We start from the raw sequence: 13944 nt of genomic DNA on the forward strand, positions 1-13944 counted from the left end.
TGTTGTCCAAGCTGGAGTGTAGTGGCCCGATCTCGGGTTCAAGTGATTCTCCTGCCTTCTGGGTTCAAGTGGTTCTCTTGCCTCAGCCTCCCGAATAGCTGGGATTACAGGCATCCGCCACCACACCCGGCTAATTTTTCTATTTTTGGTTAGAGATGGTGTTTTGCCATGTTGGCCAGGCTGGTCTCAAACTCCTGACCTCAGGTGATCCACCTGCCTCGGCCTCCCAAAGTGCTGGGATTACAGGTGTGAGCCACTGCACCTGGCCCATCTGTTTCGTTTTTATAGAAAATATGGTAATGCTGTTGAACTTATTTTATTTTATTTATTTTTTGAGACAGGGTCTCATTCTGTTGGTCAGGCTGGAGTGCAGTGGCTCAGTCTTGGCTTACTGCAGCATTGACCTCCCTGCTCAAGTGATCCTCCTACTTCAGCCTCCTGAGTAGCTGAGACTACAGGCATGCGCGATCACACTCAGATAATTTTCGTGTTCTCTGTAGAGACAGGGTTTTGCCATGTTTCCCAGGCTGGTCTCAAAATCCTGGGCTCAAGTGATCCACCTGCTTTGGCCTGCCAAAGTGCCGGGTCCATAGATGTGAGCCACTTCACCTGGCCATATATATATTAATATACGTGTTTTGAGATGGACCTTGCTCTGTCACCCAGGCTGGAGTGCAGTGGCGCAATTATAGCTCACTGCAACGTCTGCCTCCTGGGCTCAATCAATCCTTCCACTTCAGCCTCCCAAGCAGCTGAGATAACAGCTGTGCGCCACCATGCCCAGCAAATTTTTTTATTGTTGTTGTTTTCTTTGTTTTTTATTTATTTTTTGATAGAGATGGAGTTTTGCCATGTTGCCTAGGCTGATCTTAAACTCTTGGGCTTAAGCAATCTGCCTGCCTTGGCTTCCCAAAGTGCTGGAATTACAGGCATGAACCACCACTCCTGGCCAGCTCTTGACCTTACAGGTTTTCAAAGTCTAGTTTTTTTTTTTTACTACAGAGAAACTAACTTAGAAACTGCTCGTGAATTTCAGGAAAAAATTATATTTGTTATTTTAGGTATGCCTAATGTTAATTTAAAAATTCTTTGATTTTACTTATGTTCTTATTCATAGAGCAACTGGTGACAATGCAAATATTAGCAAAGATAAAATATTGAGAGCTGCTTATGTTTGGCCATGGTTTGGGGGCTGGGGATACATAGGCCTAAGAGATGCCCTATGCCTTTGAGGACACGGAAAGACAGGATATAGACATTAAAGATGAAAGTACAAAAAATGGTTTCAAATTGGTGGTATCAAAAGTTTCACCGGGCTCGGTGGCTCACGCCTGTAATCCTAGCACTTTGGGAGGCTGAGGTGGGTGAATCACCTGAGGTCATGAGTTTGAGACCAGCCTGGCCAACGTGGCAAAACCCCGTCTCTACTAAAAATACAAAAATTAGCTGGACGTGGTCGGGGGTGCCTGTAATCCTAGCTACTCGGGAGGCTGAGGCAGGACAATCGCTTGAACCCAGGAGGCAGAAGTTGCAGTGAGCTGAGATTGTGCCATTGCACTCCAGTCTGGGCAACAAAAGTGAAACTCCATTTCAAAAAAAAAATCAGTGTGTCAGGAGTTCAGAGTTGAGATTTATTGCCATGTGCATACTGTATGGTTGGAAAGGAAGGTTTTATTGAGTCTGGTCTTGGAAATTGGAACATCTGCATGAGAGGGGGCCAGATATAAATATAGAAACATGACGATGAACTCAAAGTAAAAATGGGCCGGGCGCAGTGGCTCATGCCTGTAATCCTAGCATTTTGGGAGGCAAAGGCAGGTGGATCACTTGAGCTCAGGAGTTTGAGACCAGCTTCTACAACATGGCTAAACTTTGTCTCTACAAAAAATGCAAAAATTAGCTGGGCATGGTGGTGCATGCCTGTAGAGGGAGGATTGCTTGAGCTGGGGAGGCACAGAGCCATGATGGTGCCGCTGCACTCCAGCCAGCCTGGCGACAGAGCAAGACCTTGTCTCAAAAATAAAAAATAAAAGAAAAATGGGAAGGCCAGTTTGGCAGGAGCAGGAAAGTTTATGTAGGGAAATAGCATAAATTAGGATTGGAGGGGTGGATTGAAGCAAGATTGTGCTTTGAATATTAAACCAAGGAGTTTGGAAATTATCTCTGAGGGGTAAAGAATAACTGAAAATTGTGAGCAACTTTGTACCTTTATTCCTACTTTAAGTCACTTATTTATTTACTTATTTTATTTTATTTTATATCTTTTGAGATGGAGTCTTGCTCTGTCACCTAGGCTGGAGTGCATTGGTGTGATCACGGCTCACTGCAACCTCTGCCTCCCAGGTTCAAACAATTCTCCTGCCTCAGCCTCTTGAGTAGCTGGGATTACAGGTATGTGCCACCATGTCCAGCTAGTTTTTGTATTTTTAGTAGAGACGGGTTTCACCATGTTGACGAGGCTGGTCTCGAACTCCTGACCTCAAGTGATCCGCCTGTCTTGGCCTCCCAAAATGCTGGAATTACATGTGTGAGCCACCGTTTCTGGCCTACTTTAAGTCTTATATGAAACTTCCAGATGTTGTTTTTAATGTTTTTGGTGCAGTGTGTTTATTTTAGTTAATTTTTTTTTTTTTTTTTGAGACGGAGTCTCACTCTGTCGCCCAGGCTGGAGTGCAGTGGCGCGATCTCGGCTCACTGCAACCTCCTCTTCCTGGGTTCAAGCGATTCTCCTGCCTCAGCCTCCTGAGTAACTGGATTTATAGGCGCGCACCACCACACCTGGCTCATTTTTGTATTGTTAGTAGAGATGGGGTTTCACAATGCTGGTCAGGCTGGTCTCAAACTCCTGACTTCATGATCCACCCGCCTCAGCCTCCCAAAGTGCTGGGATTACAGGCTTGAGCCACTGCACCCGGCCTTGTTAATATTTAATGACAATTTATATTGTTCACATCTTCTTTTCCCATCCACCAAAGGACTACATCCTTGTTCTGTGTTATTTCTACCTTTTGTTTTGAAGCCTCTAATAAGAATATGTCATTGAAATACCTCCTTTTCATTTTTTTAAGAGACAGAGGTCTCACTATGTTCCCCAGGGTGGTCTTGAATTCTTGGGCTCACATGATCCTCCCGCCTCAACTTCCCAAAGTGCTGGGATTACAAGCGTGAGCCACCAGGCCCGGCCCATTCTTACATTCATTTAGCAAGTACATACTGAAGTCTTGTGATGTGCCAGGCTCTCTTATGGTCAGTGATGACTGCAAGGGAACCAATTAGGCAAAAATCTCTTTTCTTATGGAGTTCAGATTTTCTTACAGAGATGGTCAATACATGAGATAAATAAGTAAAATGTATAGTATGCTCAGTGCTAAGGAGAAAAAACAATGCAGGGAAAGTGTGTGGCATAGTAGAGGCTGAAATCTTACATAGGGTGGCCAAACTCACTGAAGAACATGATACTTTGGTAAAGACCTAAAGGAAGTAAGAGGTCTGGGATGGTGAGCAAGTGCAAAGGTACTAAGGTAGAAGTGTGTCTGGCACGTCTGACAATACGGCTGGAGCAGAATGAATGAGGGAGAGAGTAATAGAGTGACTATATGTTCTTGTTTATGTCTGTTGTCTTGAAATTATTGATACTGCCTACTTTTACTCCCAATAGAGTCCAGATATTGAGTGATGAATTATATGGTCTCCTGGTAATAGGAGGTGAGGTAGGAGAGGTAAGGTGGTGAGGAGCAGATAATGGAGAGCTGAGATGAACATTTGCAGGATTTTGAACACGGGAGCCCTATGATTTGACTCATGCTTTACAGGCTTACTCTGGCTGCTGTGTTCATAGTAGACTAGGAGCAAAGACTGAAGCATAGTTAGTTAGGAAACTATTGCAGTAATCCAGGTGAGATATGTGGTGCTTTGGGACAGGATGGTAGCAGTAAAAGTGTTGAGAAGTAGATAGATTCTGGATGTGTTTTGAAGATACACATCAGGATTTGATATGGATTGGGTATAGGATTTACGAGAAAGAAGGGAGTCAAGAATGATAGAGTTTTTGGCCTGAGCAGTTGGAAGGATGGAATTGCCATTGATTGAGATGGGAAAGGCCGTCTTTTTGTGGGGAGGGAAGCAGGTGTTTTTTAGGGGAAGATGAGGTCAGTTTTGGACATGTTTTAATTTTGAGATGCGTATTAGACAACCCAAGGGAGATGTTGACTAGGCAGTTGCATATATGGATTTGGCATTCAGGGGAAAGGGACAGACTGGAGATATTAATTTGGGAACTGTTATCACTTTGATGGTACTTAAAAATGATTGAGACTGAATGAGATTGCCTAGGAAGTGAGTTTAGTTAGAAAAGAAAAAGGTCTGAAGATTGAGCCTTGGGGTAATTTATCCAGTGTTTCAAAATCAGGGAGATAAGGGAACTAACAAAGGAGATAGACTGAGTGGAGAAGGACAGGAGCAAACCCATGAGAATGTGGGTGTCCTAGAAGTCAAAGAAAGTTTCTTAAAGAGGAGAGAGGTCAACCATCTCAAATGCTTCTGTTAGGTCAGGAAGAGGAGGAATGATATTTACCATGGATTTAGTAGCATGTTTATTGTTGAACACTAGTAGTTTTGAGTAGTGGAGCAAAACTGATGAGTGCGGGTTTAGGAGTGGATGAGAGGCAAGACACCTCTTTGAAAGAGTTTTGTTGTAAAGGGAAGGAGAAAAAATGGTATGGAAGCTGAGAGGGGAAAGTGAAGTAGAGAGATTTCTTTTTGTATAAGATGAAAAATGACAGCAAGTCTATATGTTGGTGAAAATGATCCAGTAGAGAGAAAAATATGAACGTGGGGAAAGGGTGGCTGGATTTCTTTAGCATTGCTTTTAAGTAAATATGAAGGGAGGAAGCCAGTGTTCAAGTGAGGATTGGCAATGACCAGTAGAAAAGCAGTTCATTCAAAGTAAAAGCAAGTAGAAAGAGCATAGATGTAGATAAGTCAATGTAAGTATGATACTGTGAGCTTGTGGAAAGTCTCTTTCTCATTGCTTCATTTTTCTCAATGAAGACAAAAGCGCGGAGCCGAATAAGGATAAGGGAAGAGGTGTTGGAAGTTTGAGAAGAGGAAATGATATGAATTAGCTGCCTTGGAGAGTGGGACAGTGGGGGATGGATTGGGAAAATACAGTGTGCATGTGTCACAACAGTAAGCGTCCATCTAGGGTTTGTGATAATGGGGTTAAAGTGATAATAGCCAGACATGGTGGCTCACACTTGTAATCCCAGCCAAAGCCAGGAATATCACTTGAGCCCAGGAGTTTGAGACCAGCCTAGGTAACACAATCAGACCCCATCTCTACAAAATAAAAATTTAGCTGGATGTGGTGGTGCATGCCTGTGGTCCCAGCCTCTGGATGCTGAGGTAGAAGGATTGCTTGAGCTGGGGAGGTCAAGGCTGCATTGAGCCGTGATCACATTACTACACTCCAGCCTGGGCAACAGCAAGACCCTGTCTCAAAGTAAAAAAAAAAAAAAAAAAGACTGGGCATAATGGCTTCATCCCAGAACTTTGGGAGGCCAAGGCAAGAGGCTCACTTGAGCCCAGGAGTTTGGGACCAGCCTAGGCAACATAGGGAGACCTCATCTCTCAAGAAAAATAGAAGAAGATAGCTGGGTGTGATGGCACACACCTGTAGTCCCAGCTACTCAGGAGGCTGAGGAGGGAGGATTGCTTGAGCCTGGGAGGTTGTGGCTACAGTGCTGTGATCATGCCACTGCACTCCAGTGTGGGCATCAGAGAAAGACCTTATCTAAGGGAAGAAAAAAAAGGATACTAGCGTTGTCATGTGTGTGTGTTTCCCCAGCTACATGTGTGGATGAGGCAGAACATTTGATTTAACTGGGATTGCGGTTTAGTCTAGTGAGGAGGGCAGGTTGAGGGTGCATTCAAGGAAGTGATTATAATGATTGGCCATGGGATTTACACTAGCTAGGTAAGGAGGGAAGCAAAAACAGGAAGCAGGTGAAGGTTAGTTAAAAAGGTGGTAAGATCAATGGCTTGAAAGTCTTGTTGTGGGGTCATATGATTGTTGGAGTTGTGTGGTGTTGGAGAAGTAAGAAAAGACTGTAGTATGTGCCTGCAAGAGAGGGAGGATGATAGGTGGTATGGTTTAATGAAATGAGATTCAAAGCTGGGGTTTTTAATGGTGGAGGGAGGAAGAGTGGTGTGAAAGTGGACCCATAGTGTGAAGGATATGGGAGAGAAAACAGCCTTACCTAAGAGGTCTATAGAGGAAGCCATGTTCCCATGGGAAAGCCAGATTTTAGTTAAGGCAGGAAGGTAAAGAGAACCTCTCCAGAAAAGGTTCAAGTTACAGATTTTCTGATAATTGAACTTGTGTTCCAGGAGCCACTGTGAAAAGGATTGAAGAGGTAAGGAGGAGCAGGAGGTGAGATAGGAAGAGGTGATGTACAAAGCTATCCAGGTGCCAGGCACGGTGACTCACACCTGTTATCCCAGCACTTTAGGAGGCTGAGGTGGGAGGATTGCTTGAGCCCAAGAGTTTGAGACCTGAGCAACATGGTGAGACTCTGTCTCCACAAAAAGCAAATTTTAAAAATTAGCTGGCTGTAGTGTCATATAACTACAGCTACTCGGGAGGCGGAGGTGAGAGGATTGCTTGAGTCTGGGAGATAGAGGCTGCAGTGAGCCATGATACCGCCACTGCACTCCGCTTGGATGACAGCAAGACCCTGTCTCAGCAAACAAAACAAAACCATAAGACAACAACAACAAAAGAAACACAAAGCTGTTTAGAGATTTGGTTTTGCAGGATAAAGGATGACCTGGAAGTTCTGACTTTATTATGATTGACATGAACAGAAATAAAGGGCAGACTAAACTAAGACTTGGTGGTCCAGGGTAGATTTTTTTTTTTTTAGACACTCTTGCCCTGTCACCCAGGCTGGAGTGCAGTGTTGTGATCTCAGCTCACTGCAACCTCTGCCTCTCGGGTTCAAGTGATTTTCTTGCCTCAGCCTCCTGAGTAGCTGGGATTACAGGTGTGCACCACCAAGCCCGGCTAATTTTTGTATTTTTACTAGAGGGATTTCACCATGTTGGCCAGGCAGGTCTTGAACTCCTGACCTCAAGTGATCTGCCTGCCTTGGCCTCCCAAAGTGCTAGGATTACAGGCGTGAACCACCACGCCCGGCTGGTCCAGGGTAGATTTTGATGGGGTTGGCAGTAAGGGCTGAGGGAATGGAGAGGAGAAGATCTTCTTGCCAAATACATGCAGGATTTTCTGGGGCTTCCATTTGGCTTCTGATACTGGAAGTATGGAGTATTAATTAAGGGGAGTCTTAATTGAGCACACAGGCTCTCCTGACTTCTGCAGATGTTTTAATATATTCTGGCACTATTGGGAAATCATTAATGGCTTTCAAAAGGAATTCTGGAGGGATTGGGAAGGATTATATTAACTGTTGCTTTGGAAATACCAATCTGACAGTGTAGGGTAGGTTGGAGAGAGAAGAAACTTGAAGTATAGGAACATGTTAGGAAATTTTTCCAGTTGTCATGGATTTATGATATGGAATTTGGTTATTTGCAGAACAATTCAAAAGGAAAGGACCAATGTGAGAGTAGAACTTGGTGACAGACCTTGCTGAGGAGAGGATGGTTCCTGAGTTTGGAGTCTAGGAACCTGTTTGTGCCATGACAGAAATAGAAAAGTCTGAAAGAGTTGCTGGTTTTAGAAGGGAGATTGCTATGCTCTAGGATATGTTTGAATCTTGGGTGATTGGACTCTTAGGTCTCCTTTCATCATACCTGTAGTGACTTGTAATTTCCTTGTTCTTAGCTTCACAGTTGACTAAGCTTTATGAGGACAGAGATTGTGTCTGTTTTGTTCTGTATTGTCAGTGCCTGGCACAGTGAATACATTTCAGAAATAATTGCTGAATTAAAGTAGAGAAATGGCTTTTTTTTTTTTTGAGATAGAGTTTTGCTTGTTGGCCAGGCTGGAGTGCATTGGTGTGATCTCAGTTGACTCTAACCTCTGCCACCCGGGTTCAAGCGATTCTTCTGCTTCAGCCTCCCGAGTAGCTGGGATGACAGGCAGCTGCCACCATGCCCAGCTAATTTTATATATATTATATATATATAATATAAAAATATATATATTATATATATAATATAAAAATATATATATTATATATTTATATTAAATATATATTTTTATATTTTATATAAATATATATTTTATGTTTTTATAAAATATATACATTTTTATATTATATATAATATAAAATAAAATATATAAAAATTTTTATATTTATATATGAAATATAAAAAAATATATATATAAAAATATATTTTATATATATATATATATATATATATATATATATATATATATATATATATATAAGTTTTTGTTTCTGTTTTTGTTTTTTTGAGATGGCGTCTCACTCTGTTGCCAGTCTGGAGTGCAGTGGTACAGTCTCAGCTCACTGCAACCTCCGCCTCCTGGCTTCAAGCGATTCTTCTGCCCTAGCCTCCCTAGTAGCTGGGACTACGGGTGTGCACCACCATGCCCAGCTAATTTTTGTGTTTTTAAGTGGAGATAGGGTTTCACCATGTTGGTGATCTCAATCTCTTGACCTCGTGATCCGCCCACCTCGGCCTCTGAAAGTGCTGGGATTACAGGCGTGAGCCACTGTGCCTGGCCAATTTTTATATTTTTAGTAGAGACAGGGTTTCACAGTGTTGGTCAGGCTGGTCTCGAACTCCTGATCTCAAGTGATCCACCCGCCTCCACCTCCCAAAGTGCTGGGATTACAGGCATGAGCCACTGCGCCCGGCCAAAATGGCTTTTTTTTTTTTTTTTTGAGACGGAATCTCGCTCTGTCGCCCAGGCTGGAGTGCAGCGCGTGATCTCGGCTCACTGCAACCTTCACCTCTTGGGTTTGAGCAATTCTTCTGCCTCAGCCTCCTGAGTAGCTGGGACTACAGGCGCGTGTCACCATGCCCGGCTAATTTTTGAATTTTTTAGTAGAGACGGGGTTTCACCATGTTGGTCAGGCTGGTCTCAAACTCCAGACGTTGTGATCCACCTGCCTCAGCCTCCCAAAATGCTGGGATTACAGGCGTGAGCCACCGTACCCAGCTAAAATGGTTTTTTTTTTTTTTTTTCAAACTTTCCTATGGTGCTGAGAGAAATGGCTTTTAATAAACTTTTCAATTCTGAAATTCTGTCTTGATATTCAGATGTTTTGCAGGTAGAGGAAATAAAGAATTTAAGCTCAGTCAAGAGATAAGGGCTGGAGACACTATGTTTTGTGTGGTATTTGGGTGTAAACTCAAATGAAGTAGATGTCATCAGAAGCCAAATAAAGTTCTATAAAAACCAATAGGTAACAGGAACTTTAAGGAGTAAATTTTTAACAGAACTAGAAATTAAAGTAGATGTTACTGACAAAATGTTTAGATTAGTTGATTGAGAGCAAGTGCTTCTTTCGAGTCAGACAGAACTGAGTTTGTTTGAATCTTGACTTAGCTACATACTAGATATGTCAATACTTTTCTCAACTGTCAAATGAGGATAATGAGAGTACACCTGTCACAGGGTTGTAAGAGTTCAATTAGGAAAAAGAATAGCAGAGTACTTGGCATAACTCCTAAATAAATGCTAGTTTGATATTAATATTATTATTGTTAGTTTGATGGTCATGTTATTGTTACTTTTCAGGAAACAAACTGATTTATTTCCTAATGTCTGTACTTTTCTGTTGTCTTCAGTATTGTAAAAATTTTCCTACTTTTAGTTATTCATGTCTAAATTTTATTTAAGCTATTCCTGGTGACCCTGAACTCCTCTGATATTATAGTGGTGTCTTAGAAAAGCAGAACAAATTGGTATACTTTTTAAATTATCAAACCCTTTTCCTCAATCTTTTTTTTTTTTTTTTTTTTTGGGACAGGGTCTGGCTCTGTCACCCAGGCTGGAGTGCAGTGACACGATCTCAGCTCACTGTAACCTCCGCCTCCCGGGTTCAAGCGATCCTCCCATCTGACCCTCCCAAGTAGCTGGCATTCAGGTATGCGCCACCACACCCGGCTAGTTTTTGTATTTTTAGTAGAGACGGGGTTTCACCATGTTGGCCAGACTGATCTTGAACTCCTGAGCTCAAGTGATCCGCCCACATTAGCCTCCCAAAGTGCTGGGATTACAGGTATGAGCCACCATGCCCAGCCTCATGTGTTAATTTTTTAACGTAAAGTTGTGTTTGAAGACTTTAATTTCTAAATTGCATGAATTGGCTCATATTTTGCTGTGTCATTGAAAACATTTTATGTTCTCTTTCTATCTTGAACAATATTTCAATTGTAATTAGGTTGTGAGCTCCTTGAGATTAGGCGATTTGGCTAGGCTCCAGCGAAACTCAGTCATATATTTGTTCAATTACATTGAATTAAGCAGCAAGAAAGGCACAGTTTGAGAATTTCTAAAGTATTTTACCCCATTTTTTAATTATGAAAAATTTCTAACATACAAAAACCATTGAAAGATAGCACAGCGATCATTATATACCTACCACCTCAGTTCAACAGTTTATATTTAGCTATATTTAAAAAAATTCTCTTAATGTTTTTGCTGAACCATGTACAAGTTGCAGACATCCTAACACTTTCTTTCTTTCTTCCTTTTTTTTTTTTTTTGAGAGAGAGTCTTGCTTTGTTGCCCAGGCTGGAGTGCAGTGGCACAATCTCGGCCCACTGCAACCTCCACCTCCCGGGTTCAAGCAATTCTCTGCCTCAGCCTCCCAAAGTGCTGGGATTACAGGTGTGAGCCACCACACCCGGCCACATATAGTTCTTAGGTTTTTTTTTTTTTTTGAGATGGAGTCTTACTCTGTCACCAGACTGGAGTGCAGTGGCGCGATCTCAGCTCACTGCAACCTCTGCCTCCTGGGTTCAAGCAATGCTCTTGCCTCAGTCTCCTGAGTAACTGGGATTACAGGCATGTGCCACCATGCCCGGCTAATTTTGTGTTTTTGGTAGAGACCAGGTTTCTCCATGATGGTCAGGCTGGTCTTGAACTCCTGATCTCAGGTGATCCCCTTGCCTTGGCCTCCCAAAGTGCTGGGATTACAGGTGTGAGCCACTGTGCCTGGCCTTTTTTTTTTTTTTCTCCTATTTTTTTGGAGACAGTCTCGTTCTGTTGCCCATGCTGGAGTGCAGTGGTGCGATTTCAGCTCACTGCAACCTCTGCCTCCTGGGTTCAAGTTTCTCCTGTCTCAGCCTCCTGAGTAGCTGGGATTGCAGCCACCTGCCACCACGCCTGGTGAATTTTTGTATTTTTAGTAGAGACAGGGTCTCACCATGTTGGCCAGGCTGGTCTCAAACTCCTGACCTCAAGTGAGCCACCTGCCTTGGCCTCCCAGAGTGCTAGGATTACAGGTGTGAGCCACCGTGCCCAACCCAAGAAATTTTTTGCTAACTTGATGACTGTCTGCTGCCCAGACACACAATATTATGTTTTGTTATCTGTGCCACAGGTATTTCTGTTGTTGATTTAACATTTGTGATCTGGCACAAATTCTAGATTCAAGGGCATAGCTTAAATAATAATGCTTTAAAATATGTGTGCTATTTGTATCAGTTTGTTTAGCTGCTAGATAAATAAGAGTAGTGAGATTTCATTTATTCCTTTGGCAAATATTTATTCAACTCCTGCTGTGAACTAGGCCGTCTCCTAGTCCCTGAAATTACAGCTGTGAATGAACAAAGCAAACAAGGCTTGGCCCTGCTGTCACTTACCTTCTAGTGGGGAAGCCTCACAATAAGCACGATTAACATGCAGGTAGATATCTGTAATATAATGCTAGATAGGGGCAGTGCTTTTTTAAAAGGCCAGAAGAGGGATTAGGAAGTTATATTTTCTATTTTAGAAGGAGTTGTCTGAGAAGGCCTTTCTAAATACACGTTTGAGTGGAGAGATCTGAATGGAATGAAGATACTGGATAACCTTCCAGACAGAGAGGTCAGCAAATGTGGACACTTTGAGAGAGGGACATGCTTGGCCTGTTCAAGGAACAGCAAGAAGGCAGATGTTCTGGAGCTGTGTGAACTAGGGTGGGATTGTAGGAGAGGAAATTGGAGAAGTAGCCAGGGGTAGATCATATAGGACCTTCAGATTTCATTCTATCATGAAATAAAGCCTGTGGATGGTTTCCAGTAGGGGAATGAAGTGATCTGACTTAAGTTTTGTTTTGTTTTGTTTTTTGAGATAGAGTCTCACTCTATTGCCCAGGCTGGAGTGCAGTGGCATGATCTCACCTCACTGCAACCTCCGCCTACCAGGTTCAAACAATTCTCCTGCCTCAGCCTCCCGAGTAGCTAGGACTACAGGTGTACACCACCACACCCAACTAATTTTTGTATTTTTAGTAGAAACGGGGTTTCATCATGTTAACCAGGCTGGTCTCGAACTCCTGACCTCAGGTGATCCACCTGCCTTGGCCTCCCAAAGTGCTGGGATTACATGCGTGAGCCACCGCGCCCGGCTGTGATCTGACTTTTTAATTCACTATGCTATGTAGAGAACAGACTCTAGAAGTACAAGAAAGGAAGCAGCGAGATCACTTAGGATGTGGTGATTATGCACCTCCTAGTGAGAATTGATGTGATTAGCAATGGAGGGGGGAATAAGTAGTCAGATTTTAAATATATTTTGAAGATAGAATCAACAGGATATTTTGATTGTGATTAGAAAGAGCACAGTCAAGGATAACTCTGGGGTTAACAAATAGACATTGTATTTGAGGATATACACAGGGTTTACAGCACCTGTCTCTAAGCGGTGGCCTTAGCAGTGAGCTTTTTTTTCTTTTTGCTTATCTGTATTTACCAATTTTTCTATGCTGAACCTGTAATACTTCTGTAATAAAAAGATAGAGATTATTTGAAAATTAGAGTTAAAAGTGGCATCAAATGTAACCTAATTTTTTTTTTTTTTTTTTTTTTTTTTGAGAACGATTCTTGCTCTGTTATCAGGCTGGGGTGCAGTGATGCAATCTCAGCTCACTGCAACCTCTGTCTCCCGGGTTCAAGGAATCCCCCTGCCTCAGCCTTCTGAGTAGCCGGGACTACAGGCGCGCCCCACCGCACCTGGCTAATTTTTTGTGTTTTAGTAGAGACAGGGGTTTCACCATGTTGGCCAGGGTGGTCTCGATCTCTTGATCTTGTAATCCGCCCGCCTTGGCCTCCCAAAGTGCTGGGATTATAGGCATGAGCCACCGCGCCTGCCCAAATGTAACTGAATTCTTAAAGTATTCTCCTGTCCCTTTTGATTTTAGAAAAGAACTTAAGTGACATACATAAACTTTAAATCTTTATCTTTTTACTCTTAGTGATCAGCCTTTGAGCCTTTCCCACATTGAAGATGGTGAAACTAGATATTCATACTCTGGCTCATCACCTCAAGCAGGAACGCTTATATGTAAACTCTGAGAAACAGCTCATTCAGAGGCTCAATGCAGATGTACTTAAGACAGCTGAAAAGTTGTATCGTACAGCATGGATTGCGAAGCAACAGAGAATCAATTTGGATCGGCTTATCATAACCAGGTAAAGAGATGATTTTCAGGTTTTAAGTTTTGTGAACCACTATGATTCTGTAAATAAATTAGTAACTATAAATAAATGAATCTGTTTCCAACAAAGTGCATTATTTAAGATAATTTACATCAATGTTAAGGTGAGTCTTTGCTTATAATACAGTTTATTTGGATTATTAAGTAACTTAGGCACTTTTATAGAAAATTGTAACTTAAGCATTGACATTTTATATCACACCAATTGGTTTTGTGTCTTTGTCTATATAAAATGTTATTGTTGGCTGGGCGTGGTGGCTCACACCTATAATCCCAGCACTTTGGGAGGCCAAGGCGGGTGGAT

At 42.4% G+C, this 13944-nt stretch overlaps 1 protein-coding gene across 57 annotated transcripts in view; it reads left to right on the top strand.

Annotated features, from left to right (window-relative positions):
* GAPVD1 (GTPase activating protein and VPS9 domains 1) overlaps positions 1 to 13944 on the top strand; it is a 105382-nt gene that overhangs the window by 23667 nt on the left and 67771 nt on the right. For 26 of the 57 annotated variants that reach the window (NR_148732.2, NR_148733.2, XM_047423181.1 and 23 more), the window contains one exon: positions 13398 to 13614. Coding sequence is in view for 55 of the 57 variants with exons in the window: in XM_047423181.1 (XP_047279137.1) it covers positions 13430 to 13614 (185 nt within the window). In the remaining 2 variants the exon portion in view is untranslated. Of the gene's footprint in view, positions 1 to 2269; positions 2392 to 9965; positions 10083 to 11936; positions 12029 to 13396; positions 13615 to 13944 lie in introns of all 57 variants that reach the window. The other 31 variants (XM_047423182.1, XM_047423193.1, XM_047423205.1 and 28 more) reach the window with 4 other exon arrangements.

The sequence above is a fragment of the Homo sapiens genome, chromosome 9, assembly GCF_000001405.40.
Source record: "Homo sapiens chromosome 9, GRCh38.p14 Primary Assembly".
NCBI classification, from domain to species: Eukaryota; Metazoa; Chordata; class Mammalia; order Primates; family Hominidae; genus Homo; species Homo sapiens.